At 39.1% G+C, this 18,971-nt stretch overlaps 1 protein-coding gene and 1 pseudogene across 2 annotated transcripts in view, besides 2 other annotated features; one reads left to right on the forward strand and one right to left on the reverse strand.

The window, feature by feature from the left end:
* The window catches only part of GOPC (golgi associated PDZ and coiled-coil motif containing), a 42,243-nt gene extending 35,460 nt beyond the window's left edge, over window positions 1-6,783 (reverse strand). For both annotated transcript variants that reach the window (NM_001017408.3, NM_020399.4), the window contains exon 1: window positions 6,276-6,783. In NM_001017408.3, coding sequence (NP_001017408.1) covers window positions 6,276-6,560 — 285 coding nt within the window. In that variant the 5' untranslated portion in view covers window positions 6,561-6,783. The remainder of the gene's footprint in view (window positions 1-6,275) is intronic.
* Window positions 6,665-6,754: an enhancer, noted in NCBI's record as "active region_25008". NCBI's record gives its function as "activates an Ori minimal core promoter by ATAC-STARR-seq in GM12878 lymphoblastoid cells {active_cell/tissue: GM12878}" and the evidence as "EXISTENCE:reporter gene assay evidence [ECO:0000049][PMID:35858748]".
* Window positions 6,885-7,174: an enhancer, noted in NCBI's record as "active region_25009". NCBI's record gives its function as "activates an Ori minimal core promoter by ATAC-STARR-seq in GM12878 lymphoblastoid cells {active_cell/tissue: GM12878}" and the evidence as "EXISTENCE:reporter gene assay evidence [ECO:0000049][PMID:35858748]".
* The window catches only part of NEPNP (nephrocan, pseudogene), a 42,160-nt pseudogene continuing 30,388 nt past the window's right edge, over window positions 7,200-18,971 (forward strand).

Consider the following 18,971-nt stretch of genomic DNA (forward strand, 5'->3'; position numbering starts at 1 on the left):
TCCTTTTTATGGCTGAGTAATATTCCAGGTGTCTGTATATATACACACCACATTTTTTTAATCCACTTATTGATTGATGGGTATTTGGGCTGGTTCCATATTTTTGCAATTATGAGTTGTGCTAGTATAAACATGTTTGCAAGTATCTTTTTCATATAATGACTTCTTTTCCTCTGGGTAAATACCCAGGAGTGGGGTTGCTGGATCAAATGGTAGATCTACTTTTAGTTCTTTGAGGAATCTCCACACTGTTTTTCATAGTGGTTGGTGGTTTACATTCCCACCAACAGTGTAAAAGTGTTCCCTTTTCACCACATCCGTGCCAACATCTATTTTTTTTTATTTTTTTGATTATAGCCATTCTTGCAGGAGTAAGGTAGTATTGCATTGTGGTTTTGATTTGCATTCCTCTGATCATTAGTGTTGTTGAGCATTTTTTCATGTTTGTTGGCCATTTGTGTATCTTCTTTAGAGAATTATCTATTCATGTCCCTAGCCCTCTTTTTGATGGGATTGTTTGTTTTTTTCTTGATTTGTTTTGAGTTCCTTGTAGAGTCTGGATATTAGTCCTTTGTCGGATGTACAGTTGTGAAGATTTTCTCCCACTCTGTGGGTTGTCTGTTTACTCTGATTATTTCTTTTGCTGTGCACAAAGTTTTTAGTTTAATTAAGTCCCATCTATTTATCTTTGTTTTTGTTGTGTTTGCTTTTGGGTTCTTAGTCATGAAGTCTTTGCCTAAGCCAATATCTAAAAGGGTTTTTCCAATGTTATCTTCTAGAATTTTTATGGTTTCAGGTCTTAGATTTAAGTCTTTGATCCATCTTGAGTTGATTTTTATATACGGTAAGAGAGGAGGATCCAGTTTCATTTTTCTACATGTGGCTTGCCAATTGTCCCAGCACCATTTGTTGAATAGGGTGTCCTTTCCTCACTTTATGTTTTTGTTTGCTTTGTCAAAGATCAGTTGACTGTAAGTATTTGGCTTTATTTCTGGGTTCTCTATTCTGTTGCATTTGTCTATATGTCTGTTTTTATACCAGTATCATGCTGTTTTGGTGACTTTGGCCTTATAGTATAAAGTCAGGTAACCTAATGCCTCCAGGTTTGTTCTTTTTGCTTAGTCTTGCTTTGGCTATGTGGGCTTTTTTTGGTTCCATATGAATTTTAGGATTGTTTTTTCTAGTTCTGTGAAGAATGATGGTGGTATTTTGATGGGAATTGCATTGCATTTGTAGATTGCTTTTGGTGGTATGGTCATTTTCACAATATTGATTCTACCCATTCATGAGCATGGGATGTGTTTCCATTTGTTTGTATCACCTATGATTTCTTTCAGCAGTGTTTTATAGTTTTCTTTGTATAGGTCTTTCATCTCCTTGGTTAAGTATATTCCAAAATATTTTAATTTTTTTGCAAGTCTTATAAAAGTGGCTGATTCTTGATTTGATTCTCAGTTTGGTCACTGTTGGTATATAGGAGGGCTACTCACTTGTGTACATTAATTTTGTATCCTGAAATTTTGCTGAATTCATTTACCAGTTCTAGGAGCTTTATGGATGAATCCTTAGGGCTTTGTAGGTATACTATCATGTCATCAGCAAACAGCAACAGTCTGACTTCCTCTTTAACCATTTGGATGTCCTTTATTTCTTTCTCTTGTCTGATTGCTCTGGCTAGGACTTCTAGTACTACATTGAATAGAAGTGGTGAAGGGGGGCACATTCTTCAGATAAAAAGTTTCTCTTTTTTCTTCCACAGTGCCACTACTATTCCAATCAATGCCTATGATTCTAGCATAGCCATGATCAAGTGGCTCATGACAGCAAAAACTCACAAGCATGTGGAAAGTGTGAGAGATGTGAGCAATTTGAAATGGCACCACCTCAAAATACACTGATATTCTCTGCTATTCCATTCTCCTCAGATATGACTCTTCCCAAATATTGCTATGGCAAAAAGCAGTCACATGGATATCATTTGTATTTAATTTTAAGATGTAATCTATGTTCTCAAAAAACTAAAAATAGAACATATACACTAGGGATATATGCCCCCTAAAAAGGAAATCAGTATCTTGAACAATATGTGCACTCCCATGTTTATTGCAACACTATTCACAATAGCCAAGATACGGAAGCAATCTATATTTCCACAACAGATGAAAAGATTAAAAAAAAAAAAGTGGTATATATACACAAAGGAATACTACTTAGCCATAAAAAAGAATGAAATCCTGCATTGAAGACCACATGGATGAGCTTGGAGGACATTAAGTAAAAATAAGCAAGGCACAGAAAGATACATAATGCATGTTCTCACTCAAATGTAGAAGCTAAAAAAATTGATTTACCAGGCATGGTGGCCCATACCTGTAATACCAGCATTTCGAGAGGTTGAGGCAGGAGGATCTCTTGAGCCCATGAGTTCAAGACCAGCCTAAGCAACATAGTAAAACCCCATCTCTACTAAAAAAAAAAAAAAATAAAATAGAAAAATTAGCTGAGTATAGTAGCTCATGCCTGTAGTCCAAGCTACTTGGGAGGCTGAAGCAGAGGGATCAACTGAGCTGGGAGTTGGAGGCCACAGTGAGCTATGATTGCACCACTGCACTCCAGCCTGGGTAACAGAGTGAGGCCCTGTCTCAAAAAAAGAAAAAAAAAAGTTGACCTCATAGAAGTAGAGAATACAACAGTGGTTACTGTTAAGTTGGGAAGGGTGAGGCGGGTAGGAAGATGTTGGTTAACACAGCGGTCACCAATGTTTTTGGCATCAGGGACTGGTTTTGTGGAAGACAATTTTTCCACAGGACAGCGTGGGGATGGTTTCAACAAAAGACATTAGACTCTCACAAGAAGCTGGCAACCCAGATACCTCGCATGTGCAGTTCACAACAGGAACAGGATTTGTGCTACTATGAGAATCTATATGAGAATCTAGTGCCACCACTGATTTGACAGGAGCCAGAGGTCAGGCTGTAATGCTCTCTTGCCCACTGCTCACCTCCTGCTGTTCAGCCAGTTCCTAAGAAGCCACGGACCAGTACTGGTCCACAGCCCGGGGTAACAAAATTATGGCTAAATAAGAGGAAAAAGTTCTAGTATTCTATAGCACCATAAGATGATTACAGTTAATAGTAGCTTAATGTATATTTTCAAACAGCTAGAAGAGCAGGTTTTGAATTGTTTCTAACATGAATAATGTTTGAGGTGACAGATATGCTAATTACCCTAATTTCATCATTATTATGTGTATCCAAATACCACACTGTGCCCCCTAAAAAGATGCGACTATTATGTCAATTAAAAATAAAAAAGAATAGCCCTAATAGCCTATTCAAGTAAAAAAGTAACCTATGATTTTTTTGCAGCAAAATTTAATATTTTAATAATAAATATAGTGTTTAATGTTAACTACATTATAAATTACCCAAATTGGAGGTATCTGTTTCTTCATTATATAAAAATATTTTATTACAGTAATATGATTAAAGGTATTAACCTCTGAAACCACTGAATGTCACGTTTGTCATATTAAACCATAAGTGGTTTCAAATATGTCTTAATGTCCATATAATTAAAACAATAGAACAAATTCAATCCTTTTCCTAAAAAGTAAAAAAGGGCAAGAAAATATGGAAATTGTTTCAAGCTTTCAAACAATATATGGAGCAACCACTGAAATTCTGTAGATGGAACAGCAGCAAGTCTACTTTGAAAGGCACTGCTGACAATGAACTTCTTTCCACAGCAATACACAATTGATTCCATAAAAACGGCAGAAGCTGCTAAACGTGTACAGATTAACATCAAAGACAAACAAGTTGACTGTAACTGAAAAAACACAAACAAATGAACAAACAAACCAAAATCATTAGGATTTTTCCCCTCCCCATTTTCCTATGATCTTTAAATCAACAGTTTCAAGCATAAAAAATATGCTCACATTGTGATATGCTAGCATTTCCTATTTTGAGAAACAATGCAACCTCCTAAACCAGGACATAAAGTCAGAATGTGTGATTTTAATTTCTGAAAAAAGAACATGCATAATTTATTACAATTCTGAATACTCATCTAAAATATTTAAAGACAAAAAAAATGGAGCACAGCCTCCTACTGAGAAAATTATCCTTCCTCCCAATTTCAATTTTTATATCTGACATCAAATCCCTGTTTAAAGTTTCCTTAGGTCATTTTAAAAATAAATAAAATATTGTTTCATTTTTAAAAAGTTGTTAATGCCCAGTTGATACTGCAGTTGTAAATGATATGAAATTTCTCGTGTGATGTTTTAGTCCACTTTCTGTTTCTTATAACAGAATACCAGAAACTAGGTAATTTATAAAGAAAAGGAATGTATTTCTTACAGTTATGGAGACAGAGAAGTCCAAGGTCGAGGGGCCAGATCTCGAGAAGTCGAGAGCCTTCTTGCTGGCAGGGGATCTGTGCAGAGTATGGAGGCAGCATAGGGTGTCACATGGCAAGGAGGCTGAGCATGCTAACATGCTTACTCAGGTCTTTCTTCCTCTTCTTATAAACCACCAGTTCTACACTCCTATGATAACTCATTCATCCATTTATCCAATAACAAATCAATCTATAAGTGGATTAATCCATTCATAAGAACAGAGTACTCATGATCCAGTCTCCTCTTAAAGGCCCCACATTGGAGATTCAATACTGTCACATTGAGGATTAAGTTTCCCATACACGAAATTTGGGGGACACATTCGAATTATACCATGTGGTAAAGGCTACTCTTGATCTTTGTTGTTTAAAGCTAGAGAACTAATGGCCAGGCACAGTAGCTCATGTCTGTAATCAAAGCACTTTGGGAGGCCAAGGCAGGAGGATCACCTGAGGCCAGGAATTCAAGACCAAACTGGGCAACAAAGCACTCCATCTCTTTTTTGAAAAAAATATAATAAGATAAAATAAGATGAAATAAAGTTAAAGTACTATTTCTAGAAAACATTAAATGCAATTTCACTATCTGAGAAAAATAGCTTTCTTGTGGAAATTACTACCAATAAAGAAATCAAGAGATGTTTTCATTTACCTACAGTAAGAAGTGATTACCTTCATATTAGCACTTTCTAATCTTTTCAAAAAGGATAGAAGAAATTAACAGTTCTCGCAGTGGAGAAGAGCCACAATTCTTGGATATGTAAATCTATGTTAATCAAAGATTAATTATGCCACATATTTCATGGCTAATAGGAGAGAAAGAATGCTGACCACTAGGCAAGGAGAGGATGTTTAACTGACATTCATATTGATATAGATATAATGGGCACTGTCAATGACAACGAGTAATGATGATTTCTTAGGAAAGCATGTTCAGAGTTTTGCACATCACTGATTATCCCATTTTTATCTATTACACTTTTTGAAAAGAAAGACCCATTCTCTTAAATTGCCTAGTTAGAAAGTACTCTTTATGCAATAATGTTAATCTATCTTGATTTCTAAATATTTTAATAATGTCCTTTTTAAATTTTCTGCACAATATGATATTTTTGTTTTTTTGAACCACAGCCACTCCACCCTCACCCACACCCAGGATCAGAGATTAAAGCAAATGATTCTTTACACTCTCTCAAAAATAAATCCAGACTTTGGAAAATTACACAGTAATGTACAAGCATATAAAAACTCAAGGTCAGAAGTAATTTCAATAATTGCAGGGAGCTCTCTGGAGGTATCTGCCTGTAATTTAACAACCAACTATGGATGTAAACCGAGACAGTGATACTATCGTTATGCACCACGAAATTTTCCTAAGAGCTTTGATCAGATTCCCCTAAATAGTTTATGCATGTCTCTGTATGCAATCATAGGCGCTGACCTGGAATAATTAAAATGAAAATAATCAGTGCTGTATCTGTCTTAACATATACAAATTCGGTTTATCAATGTGAAAGCAGATCTGCAAAACTCAGTTGTCAAAAGGTGGCCTACGGTATTTTCATGACAGAGAATCTTTGTTAGGTTTGTTAATGTAACATGTGCAATGGAGGCTGGTGTATGTAATTAGTTTCCTCCTCAGAGAGATACTAGGAAGGTGGACGACAGTACCCCGGGAACTCACACGTCGGTCTAGGGCCCTTTTTGTCCCCCACCCTCACCTCACTCCTCAGACATGCACTCTCCCATCACATTTGAAGCCCCGGTGGGCAGTTTTCTAGGGTCGTTTCACTGGAGCGTTAAATGGCATCTGACGCCACCGGGCAGCCTGGGGTTGGATGCCATAGCCGCCAGCACCCACGGCTCACCTCCAGCTTGTGGTTGATTTGAGACACAGACTGGGCTTTGTGGCAAAGCTGTGCAAAGCAGGAGCTCAGGCTGGTCATCTTCTGTCGCCCCTCATAAGTGATGTCCGCTTGGTCTGGATCGATCTCTCCCAGGAGCAGATCCACATCCACAAAAGCTTTGTCGAACTCCTTCTCCAGCACCTCCAGCCACCGGAACATGGATACCCCGCCAGGGGCCCCCACGGAGCAGGAGGCGCCCCCTGGGCCCCCTCCGGCTGCTGCTGGGCATGGACCGCCCGCCGACATGGCGCCGTCAAGGGCCTCTCCCGACTGCTGAAGACCCTCGCCGCCCCCCGCGCACGAAGGGAACTGCTGGGACTGAGGGGACCCCCGCGCGCGCGGGCACACTCCGTCACCTCCCTTCACCTCGCGCCGTTAACGCCAGCAGCACAGTCACAGAACCGCAGGAGTAACGAGGCTGAAGCTGAGGCGGCAACGGCGGCGACACACGGAAGACTCAGTCAGTCCCACCTCCCAGCCTGCCCCCGCTGCGCATGCGTAGCGAAGAGCTGGGCGGACGCAGCCACGAGGGACAAAATAGGCGGGGACAGGATGCGATCTTGGCCTATGAAAGGCCTCAGCTTGGGAGCGGCCTGTCAGCGGCCATATTAACAACTGGCAAACTACGGCTTGAATCCCTGAGAAACGGAGGCGCGTGGTTTCTGCACCCTGGTTGGAAAGGCCCGAGGATGAGAAAGGTGTCCACGTCGCAGAAAGGAAGGATTTCCGCCGGTTTGACTTAACAGTTGGCGGGAGCCGTTCCAAAATCCTCCCAGAAAGTTGCTGCGGTGGCATCTAGGGTCAGGGAGGGGAGAGCAAGGAAGGGCGGTGTGAGCATGCGCAATAGCCACGTTTTTACCTTCTCGATTCCAGTTCCTGGATAGGATGGAGTGGGTGTACACACTGGCTGTTCTTGGTAAACCAGACCCCAAATTCCAGGTGTGGACTGCCTAAAGCTGCGCATTGAAGCGGCTGACCAGATTTTGCGGAATTAATAGAAGACTTTTTGTCTTGTGATTAAGAGTCAGGTAGACCTGGATTCAATTCTTACCCTCTGTCACATACTACCTGTGTCGCCTTTCATGTATTAACCTCGAAACCAAGTTTCCAAATTTTACTTAACTCAGTTGTAAGGTAAAACGCTTAGCGTCACTTCTTGGCACACGGTATTCCTCTTAATACACCATAGGTCACACATTTCAAAAGCAACTACAGTAGTGCTTCACTTAAGATGGGGATATGTTCTTAGGAATGTGTCCTTAGGTTAATCATCCCTTAGGGAACATCCTAGAGTGTATTTAAACACAAACCTAGATAGTATAGCCTACTACACACCCAGGCTATATGATGTAGCCTATTGCTCTTAGGCTGTAAACCTGTACAGCATGTTGCCATTCTGGATACGGTAGGCGATTATAACACAGTGGTAACTATTTGTGTACTTAAACATATCTAAACATAGAAAAGGTACAGTCATATACTCTTATAGGATCACCATAGTTTATGCGATCCATTCATTGCTGAAGCCTTGTTATTTGGCACATAACTGTACTTTAAAAGGTGTATTTATTTGAAAACTGGTAGTGTCCTCACACGTGACATTTCAGAAAATCAAAATTGTGAATTCATATATTTACAAATATATTGAATGCAGAGCTCTGTTGCGACATTGAAGACACAAAAATGAATGAGACATGACCCTTACTCAAGATAGGCTAGTGAGGCTACTACCCCTCAACTATAACTTTAACTTGAATTTTTCAGTGCCTTTAAAAGTATCCAGCAACTCCTCTCTTTACATTCTGCCTACTTCCAGTTCAAGGGTAGACAGTCCTAGAAAGGGAAAGAGAAACCTGTGTGATTAGAGTAGGCTGGTGGAAACTCCTGCATTACCTAGAAGCATATTTAGCTGAGTGCAGTCTGCTGTTATCTGTTCTTGGGGCAGACCCTTACGGTTAATCACAACCCAAAGCCTGCATTGTGTGCCCTTCGCTGATGCAAGGCAACTGAGGAGCAAGAAATCACAATTTTATTATTGCAGTCTTTGTACTGCATGGCAGACTGGTTAGCATGAAGCAATAAAGTCCTTTGGCTTGAGCAAACTTAGCTAATCAAAATGGATCATGAGATCCTGACCTTAGACTTAAGTAGGGACCTTCATACAGGTTTTAGTACACAATAAATAATGTAAAACTAAAATTTACATCTTTCCCCATTCCCTTCCAAAATTAGCTTTATTTTCATCTACAATATTTGCAAAAACATTGCTACAGCTATCAAGCTCCCAGCCACTTTATCTACACATAATACAGTTAGCAATGCATTTTCAGGAACGCGAAGTAAATAATTTAAAATTAGCAGGGCAGGGGGAGAATACATCGAACCACAATTATAATAGCTTTCAATTATTGAGTCCTTACTATGTGTTAGGCATTATGCTATTTTCTTTAATTCTTTGATCCTTACAAAATCCTATGAGGTAGGTATGATCACGTCTTTTATTGTTGTTGTTGAGACAGGATCTTGCTCTGTCGCCCATGCTGCAGTGCAGTGGCACGATCACAGCTCACTGCAGCCTCACTTTGTTGACCAGGCTGGTCTGGAACTCCTGGACTCAAACAATCCTCCTGCTTAGGCCTCCAAAAGTGCTGGGATTACAGGTGTGAGCCACCACACCCAGTAATCACTTTTTAACAGCTAAAGTCACAGACAGCTTAAGTGTCTTGGTAAGGTCACAAAACTAGAAAGAGATTGAGGTAGTATATCAATCTAGGTGTCTTTTTCTCCTAAGTTGTTGCTGTTAACCATGTAATACAGAAGAATGAAGGAATCTATTTCTTCTTGTAAAAGTTAGCAGTATAATAAACTAGCAAGTAAGTTCCAAAAGTTCTTTTTAATTTCTTCCTAGTTAGAAACCATATACAAATCTATTAACATATAAGAACCATTACCAAAAATTGTAATAACTCATTTTCTATTACTTGTAACTCTAATTTATATGAACCACACTTGAGTATAAATTTCATTTCTTTAAAAAATCAACTTCCAGCTACATTGTGTGGGTGCAGCTGAGTGACATTTTAAGTGTTTATATGTTTCCAGTGCTCTAATGGTTTGTGGGTACCCCCATTTTCGAGATTGCAGAACCCAGCTTCGTATCTATTACCTTTACAACTTCAACAAGTCATAGACTCATCTGTGTCTCAGACGAGTTTCATGTCATGTTGTCCCTTCTCATTACTGTAGTATGTAGACATAATCTTTTGCCCACCTGGATTGAGGTTATGCAAATCTGCAAGTCACAGCAGAACATGGATGTGAAAAGGAGGGCTTATCATCGGGGCTTGATGTTCAAGTGCTGCCATCTGTTGTCGGTGTACTCTATCTACACTTACTGCCTTATCCTTACCTACTCTGGAATTGGAGATTGCATGTAATGTCAATACTTGAGCGATTTGTTTTTCCACAGATATTAAAGTCTTGATACTTCTATTTGCAGTTGGATTGGCAGAAGCTTCCAATAACTGTTTTATGAATCATGCTTATGTGATTTTTAAAAAATATAACTTAAATGTGACACTCTTGTTTTAGGAACTTATCCCTACAGAGTTTTGTCACAAGGCATTACTAAAAATAAATTGGTTGGAGACTGAGGAAATTGGGGAAAGAGAGATGATGCTAAGGGTTTCTTTGATAGGTACTGGTAATTAACTGCGGGGTCAGTGTATAGTTTAAATATTTATGGAGCATCATTGATTGCAAGGGCACTGTAATAAAAGGGTGTATAAGACCCACCTTGGACTGGAGAGGGAGATTATCACTTATTGAACTCTACTGTGTTCCAGGCCCTGTACCTAACTTCACGTGTTTCATTTAGTTTCCAGTAACCCTACCAAGAGAAGGGGTTAAGTATATGCTGTTAGTGGCTATAACAAGTTGTATGTATGGTGAATGAAGAAAGTAAAAATCCACTAGCATTTTATTTAATCAATGTAGGAAAGGTTTGGAGTGTTGTATTCATACATATTATTTATATTTATTGAATTTATTATTCATATTACCAACAGTTTTGAAAATTTCAGATACATATGCTAAAGAAGTAAGTTTAGGAATCCAAAGGGATTTATTAGCCTTATTCTCCTGATTATTTCCCTTATATAAACAAAGGGATCTGGGTGTGGCGGTGTGCACCTGTAGTCACAACTACTTGAGAGGCTGAGGTGGGAGGATTTCTTGAATCTAGGAGTTTGAGACCCTCCTGGGCAACATAATGAGATCATGTCTCAAAAACAAACAAAAAACAGGACAACTGTTTGCTCTCTTGTTTTTAAAACTTGAGAATTTTGGTACAGTGATTTAGAATTAGCTCAGACACCTCCTCTTCCAGGAAGCCTTCCTTCTTTCTCCTCATATGATGCTATGGGCTCCATCCCCAATTAGTTTCCTGTAAATATCTTTTACCGCATTTATCATATTATTTTGGAGCTTGTTAGACTGTGAGTTCCTTGGCAACAATAACTGTATCTTACTTATCTTTGTATCCCAGGTCCTAACACAGGACCTAGAATGTGGTAGGAATGCTATAACTATTTGTGTGATAACTTCAATAATTAAGGTATTCGATCATTCTACCTAGGAAACTAACAGTCACTTCACTTTTCAAGACATACTTGTGATACATGCTAGAGAGCATAGCTAAATATTAATATATTTTTATATTGCCTCAGAGATTAGGATATCTATAAATTACATATTAGTCTTTCTTTTCCAAACCTAAAGTTTTATTTTACAATGATCTGGCTTATTTGACTAATAAATCCATTATAATTTAGGCTTCAAGGATTCTTTTGCTTATTCCATTGTTAAAATTTACTAGATACTATGTTTTGTATAGTATATTCAACCTAAAACCAAAACATAATAAATTTTACACTATCAAAGACAGACTATAACTGCTTTTCCCCTTTTCCCCGATGTACATTCTTCATCTACCACTTCCCACAGCTCCAGGTTTGCTTCAGCCTTGTCTGAAACCACCATTTATCAACAGTAGTATCAGAGTTTCCTACTCATGTTTTCTTCTTCTTTTGTCCACTGTGAAGTCACTGTTTATTTCTCAAGTGTCAGACTGTATGGATCAAACATAGACTTTCCTTCATCACCTTCTGTTTTTTTTTTTATAAATTAGTCTACTAAGGGCCTCCGAAACAGTTGTATTCCAAATACCCTTCAACAATAATTATTTTTTCGAGTTTTGACTGAAAAGTATAAGTTATCTAATTAGAAATTTCAGCTGGGTGCCATGGCTCATGCCTGTAATCCCAGCACTTTGGGAGGTCGAGGCAGGCAGATCACCTGAGGTCAGGAGTTCGAGACCACCCTAGGCAACGTGGTGAAACCCCGTCTCTACTAAAAATACAAAAGTGAGCCAGGCGTGGTGGCACTCACCTGTAATCCCAGCTACTCAGGAGGCTGAGGCATGAGAATCACTTGAACCTGGGAGGCAGAGGTTGCAGGGAGCCGAGATTGCACCATTGCACTCCAGCCTGGGCAATGAGAGCGAAACTCCGTCTCAAAAAAAAGAAAAAAAAAAGGAAAAAGAAAAAGAAACTAAAAGTCAGAAAAGTGTAGTGAAACTATTACACAAAAAGCTCTATCACAACAATTGCTGGAGATAGTATTTGTTTTGTCCCCAGATGATTGTAACTCACTCAGAATTTGTTTGGCTTTTGTGGCCATGGTGAGCAGAGGGAGTTAGGATGAAAAGACTTCTATAGTGAAAATTTGTCACTACATGTGGGATACTCTCCATATTTGAGCTCCCTTCCTCTAGGGAATTTCCCATTTTATGTTACTTGGTGAGAGAGAGAATTCTTCTTCCATAATAAGCTGAAAATGTCAGATGATCACTTTCCTGACTCTGTGACAGGTAGAGCACAGGGCTGTGACCTAGACTCAGCTAACTAGAATTATCCACCTGAAATTTTTAACATGGAGATAGTGAGGCAGGATTGGGAGCATTCCTTTTGGTAGGGATTGGAGAGGGAGTGAAGATAGCAGTTTCAGCAGCAGCCATGCTAGTGTTGGTGTTGTGCTAGATTCAGGTTTGTGGTAGAGGCTGGTGCACTCGTGTTCTGTAGTGGCAGCAGGAATGGTGTCCTCACTCAACTGAGGTGCAATTTTGCAATTTTGCTTGTGATTCTGACTATGCAGCCTTCCTTTATTCTTGGCCATTTCCAATTCACATTCTCCAGGCATTCTTATACTTCATTGTGCTACCCAATTTTCTTTCAGTAATTCTTTTTCTGCTTTAATTGGCCAGAATTTGTTTCTGTTGCTTGCAATCCATAACTTAAACTGATACGCCAACTATCATTTGTTGAGATCCTACTTTTTGCCCATCAACTTGATAAACTTTAGTTTGCTTCATCTATTCCTTTCTCTAAAGTGGAAATTATTTCCCCCATTTTATCTTGTAGAAGAACAAACATGAGGCTTAGAGAAGTTAAGTAGTAGAAGAATTTAATTTTCTGTGTTACTTTCAACGTATGCTCTTTATGCAACGTGCTTCAGAAGGAGAAAATATATTTAAAAAGAATCATATACATAATTTGTTTAATCTTTAAAATGTCTTTTATCAGAGACAGGGGTTTTCAATTTTTTTTTTTTTTTTTTTTTTTTTTTTTTTGAGACGGAGTCTCACTGTCCTCCAGGCTGGAGTGCAGTGGCGCCATCTCGGCTCACTGCAAGCTCCGCCTCCCGGGTTCACGCCATTCTCCTGCCTCAGCCTCCCGAGTAGCTGGGACTACAGGCGCCCGCCAACACGCCCGGCTAATTTTTCGCATTTTTAGTAGAGACGGGGTTTCACAGTGTTAGCCGGGATGGTCTCGATCTCCTGACCTCGTGATCCGCCTGCCTCGGCGTCCCAAAGTGCTGGGATTACAGGCGTGAGCCACCGCGCCCGGCCAGGGGTTTTCATTTTTTAGAAGTCTTCTGTTTAGCTCCTGGCCAATCGGTTTTATTGCAGGAATAATGAGCTGATGCTTGTAATTCCAGATCAGGGAAAATTTGAGTTAGTTCGTTTCCTTTTTGGAATTCAGTTTCCTGTGTACAATGGAAAAATGTGGTGTTGATTAGATTATCTCTAAAGTTCCTTCCAGTGCTGACATCCTATGAAAGTAATAAAAATGATCCACACATCAAAAACAAAGTTAAATACTCCTTTTTTTTTTTTTTTTTTTTTGAGACTGAGTCTCACTGTGTCACCCAGGCTGGAGTGTAGTGGCACAATCTCGACTCACTGCAACTTCTGCCTCCCGGGTTCAAGCGATTCTCCTTGCCTCAGCCTCCTGAGTAGCTGGGATTACAGGTGTGCGCCACCAGGCTCGGCTAATTGTATTTTTAGCAGAGACAGGGCTTCGCCATGTTGGCCAGACTGGTCTCAAAATCCTGATGGCAGGTAATCTGCCTGCCTCGGCCTCCCCAAGTGCTGGGATTACAGGCGTGAGTACCTGGCGCTGCCAAATTCTCCTCCTAACTACAACAGAAGTTTCCGCATATTTATTTATCCTGGTATGATATGCCTTCTATGGTCATTACTCTCAAAATACTACATGCAAGATATTAGGTAACTTCAGAGTTTAGGCCAATTATTTCTTGCCCTTTGCTTTTAATAAATCAGGGAAGGCCAGTATCCATCTCATAGAGGTACACATTTGTTATGTACAGCAGCATTTTTAATGACGGCACTATGGACAGTTTGGACTCCATAATTCTTCATTGTGGGGGCTATCCTGTGCATTGTAGCCCCCACAGTGAAGCAGCATCCCTGGCCATTACCCACTAGAGGCCGATAACACTGCCCCTCTCCCCCGTATTTTGATGATAATCAAAAATAATGTTTCCAGTGGAGAACATGGTGGCACCCCTGTAGTCTCAGTTGCTCTGAAGGAGTGAAGTTGGGGAGGTGGAGGTTGCAGTGAGACAAGATTACATCACTGCATTGCAGCCTGGGTAACACAGAGTCTATCTCAAATAAAACAAAATAGAAAAGTTTCCAGAGAGAGAGGGAAAATAAGGATAAAGAAAGCAAGAGAGGGATATCCCAGCTACTTGGGAGGCTGAAGCATGAGAATGGCTTGAACCAGGGAGGCAGAGGTTGCAGTGAGCCAAGATTGTGTCACTGCACTCCAGTCTGGGCAAATAGAGTGAGACTCCATCTCAAAAAAAGAAAACTAAAAAAAATAAAATGAGAGGGAGTATCCAGCCTAGAGAATCTGAACAAACAATCTACTCCAATCCAAATTCAAATACAAAGCATATTTCTTGAGATTGCTATCTTTCTTGTGTTGAAAGACTAAAGCTAGATTCTGAGCTCTATTTTGAACACAGTTGCTGGGTGTGTCGTTGAGTTGCCATACTTGAGAGGCACCCTTGTTCCTTCACTTGGTTCCCTCTTACCCAAAGGAGTCAAGTAATAACAATCATGTAAGGTGTTGTTAAAATCTTTGGAAAAAAGTACTGCATGCTTCACACTTAGCCTTAAGCTCCAGAGATAAAAACACGAGAGCTTTATACTTGTGGTCCTTAGTCAATGTGTGAAAACTCCAAAAGTCGGCAGAAAGTGAACTAGAAGCTGAGCAATGGTGGCAGCTCCTGTATTCCTCCTAGCATAATAAAGATGAGACAGGCTTGCCATCTCTAGAAGAGGAACAACAAAACATGTATGTCCTTCAAGCATAAAGGCTGTACCTTTGTTTTATATTTTCTCTGCAGTCTGTAAGTATCAACAAGACTTTGCCTGCTATCAAAAAAAAAAAAATTGACTTTTCAGCTTAACCTAAATAAATAGGTATGTTCTGGGAAAAGACAGATCTTTTATTCTTCAAAACATTCTGAAGCTTTTTATGATCAAAGTTATTTACATTTATAATGCTAAAATCAAAAAACAACTTAAAACTCCACTAGTTAGAAAGTAGTTAAATTATAGACAGTACTTTTGATGGACTATTATTTAGACATTTAAGTTTTTATTTATAGAAACTGAAATAATATGCAAAAATATAATAGTGAAAAGAATAAAATGTAAAGTTATGAGTATGTTTACAAACATGAGAAAATAAAACTTCACAGTGTAAAATATTATAAATAATGCTAGAATTGCAGTAAAGGTATAGAAATGCCATGAAAAAGAAGAAAAAAATTATATAGTGTAATTTCAAGGCTCAAAGAAAAAGGAATCCTATGGTCACCAACAAAGGATGAAGAATGGAACTCATCACTGTGCTGCATAACAGAAAAATTTGCTGTTATCAATGGCAGATGAGAGGACAGGATTTTGCAGGCATTTTATTTCAAGTAACTGGATATGTATTTACCTTTATAGTAATGCAGAAACATGTGCAATAAGTATTACTCTTTGTCTTTTCAAAGCCTAAGCATAGAAAAGAAGAAACTGGAAATGTGATGTTTGACTTTGGGATGTGACTCAAGGTGACAATTCTTCCCTCCTTGCTGTTTTTTTTTTTTTTTTTTTTTTTTTTTTTCCAAATTTTCTTTCATTGAGCATTACTTTGATTGCTAGAAATTCTAAAAATCAAAAAGAAATTCTATTACTCAACAAAAGAAACAACAAAGTGTTCTGAAAGTCAGAATAGTTACCAAAATCTCTTTACCATTCCTTATCTGTGATAGTTAAAGAAAACAGAGGAAAAACAATTATTAAAAAGAATACAAGTCTTTGGAGAAAAGCACACAGAAATCCTTACTCTGGAAATAAAATAAATTGATTATTTGATCAAAGAAACTTTTAGCTTCCGTGAAAGGAAAATATCCTGGGCCCCCAAAATCACTAAACTAAAGGTAAAAGCCAAGCTGAGAACTACTTAGGGCAAACCTGCCTCCCATTCTATTCAAAGTCACCCCTCTGCTCACTAAGATAAATGCCTATCTGATTGCCTCCTTCGGAGAGGATAATCAGAAACTCAAAAGAATGCAACCATTTGTCTCTTATCTACCTATGACCTGGAAGCCCCCTCCCTGCTTCAAGTTGTCCCACCTTTCCAGACCAAACCAATGTTCATCTTACATATGTCGATTGATGGCTCATATCTTCCTAAAATGTATAAAACCAAACTGTGCTCTAACCACCTTAGGCACATGTCATCAGGACCTCCTGAGGCTGCGTCATGGGCGTGTGTCCTCAACCTTGGCAAAATAAACTTTCTAAATTAACTGAGACCTGTCTCAGAATTTGGGGGTTCACATTTTGGTAACCAAGGAGGGATTCTGAGTGTAGGTGTCCCTCACCTTTGACAAATCTCCTATGGGTGCTTGGTACCAGCTTCAGCAATCTTTATGACTCAAACCAATAGAACAATTTGCTGAGGCCTGGAAGCATCCCCTCCAGAGAATCCCTGATCTCCCAAAATTTGGTTGAGAACTAGTTTATTTTGCTGTACAACTTTTTTTTTTTTTTGGAGTTTTACTTGTTTCCAACACAAGGAAGGCAAGTTTTTCTGCTTCCACTACGATGGTAGGCAGTGTTATATATAAAGTTTTGGTGCCGCAAAAGAAATAGCACTCGAATGTAAAATTTTCGTTTAATTCTCAGCAAGGCAAGGTACTTCTATAGAAGGGTGCACCCTTACAGTTGGAGCAATGGTGAGCGCACACCTGGACAAGGGAGGGGAAGGGGTTCTTATCCCTGATGCACGTGGCCCCTGCTGTTGTGTCGTTCCCCTATTGGCTAGGGTTAGACAGCACTGGCTAAGCTAATTCTGATTGGCTGGCTAATTTAAAGAGAATGAGGGAGTGAGTGCTTTGGTGGGAGTCAGGGCAGAGCTGGTAGCAGGTAATTGGAATGAGTTAGGGTGGAGCAGGTGATTGGAATGAGTTAGGGTGGAGCAGGTGATCAAAATGAGTCAGGGTGGAGTAGGTAATCGAAAAATGTTGCTTTACAAGGAAGTTAAATTTAAAAGTAGAAGGCAAAGAATTGAACATACTGACATATTAATTATTTGAAAAGAAATTTAGAACTCATATCTAACAGCAGGTAACTCCTTTGGGGAGTTTGAGCTTGCTTCCAACGGGAAGAAGAAGTTTTCTTTCCCTGCTTCTAGGAAGGTAGAGAGCAGTCTTCAGCTTGAGACCCAATCCTAGATAAGTAAGTGAATTGTGGTTTGTCTTGGCTAAAGTTAAGATTAACAACCAGCTGGTCTTAATTTCTCCTTACCATTAGAGCGCTCAGTAACTATATAAGTTGTGTGATCATTTGTTTTGCTTAACTTTTTTATTTGCTGCTGTTTGTTTCTATTTTTGTTGTTGTTTTGGTCTTTTTACCACTGGGTTTGATCAGCTCTATCTGACCTGATTAAATCTGAAGGAAGTTCCAAATTACAGGGAACGAGGCCTCTGAAGTGGCTAAATTCCTACCAAAAAAAAAAAAAAAAAATGGTGGTGTGGTCGGGGGGGAAAAATGGCCAGCAAAAGGGGAAAAAAAAGAGGAAAGATTTTTCATTTTGACTACGAAGGGGCTTTATTTACATAACAAGGCCACCTTTTACTAGCCAGATCAAGCTGAAAGAGCAATGGCTATACTTCTGAAATTGCAGCAATTTTTCCTAGTTGAAATACGGTAATGACATTTTAAAAGATTTTTTTAAAGCAACTCAGTGGTTAAAAGTCAGCTTAATTAAAAGCTAACATCCAAGATGTGTGTGTGTGTGTGTGTGTGCATATGTGTGTGCCCGTATTTAAAAGGCCTTCATGTTTTTGTTTTTGTTTTTCTCCTAAAACCATGTCTCTTTTTGAGCAAAAGTTGTTTTTTTCTTCCTCAGTTGACTGAATTCTGTTTTCTTCATTTACTTCTGCTGTCTCTCCTTTCTCTTGCACCCTCTGCTGCATAAGGGACTTAAAATAGTTTATAATAGCCTGGGGCTCCTTAAAGAAAATGAAGGCACCAGACTCCCTTTTGGGGAGAAACCTGTTTTTCCTTATGGGGAATCTATTTAATTACAGGGATATATTCTCCTCCAGGGGCGGTCTCCAGTCCTCTCTCAGGAGGGATCGCGCTCTTCTGCCTCATTGCAGTGGCTTCAGGGATGAGAAATTGAGACCCACCCAGTGTGACAAATAAACCTGGACTCTCAGCAACGCAGAGAAAAAAAAAGAAACTGGCCAGCAACCTAGCCACATATGTCTCAGTTCTTAAACTGCTTAATTTTATATTGTGTTAACTGCTTTTTTATTTTTGACTAAAATCATTACCACAAGAGAAGTTACTCTTGGGTTTTAAAGGAAGAGTGTGGTTTAGACACTTAAAAGTGTCTTTAAAAATTTTTTTTCAAGTGTAAAAGCATCACATGGTCTAACCTCACAATAATTTTCCCTTTTTGAAGATTTACAATTCAGTATGGGCTCTGCCCAGAGCTTGGAGATCCATAGATAGTCCCTATTTAAATAAGATTGGTCTCCTTATACAATCCTATGATAGATTTCTATAATTTTATGTTTGATTTTGCATCCACCTTTAATCTTCCTACAGCACCACCAAACTTACTCTTTCTGTACCTTATGATGTAAATTTTGCTATTTGAATTTCACTTGAGTTTTTTACTTTAACATGCAAATTTAAGGCTATTTAACTGACTACTGCCT

The sequence above is a fragment of the Homo sapiens genome, chromosome 6, assembly GCF_000001405.40.
Source record: "Homo sapiens chromosome 6, GRCh38.p14 Primary Assembly".
NCBI lineage: Eukaryota > Metazoa > Chordata > Mammalia > Primates > Hominidae > Homo > Homo sapiens.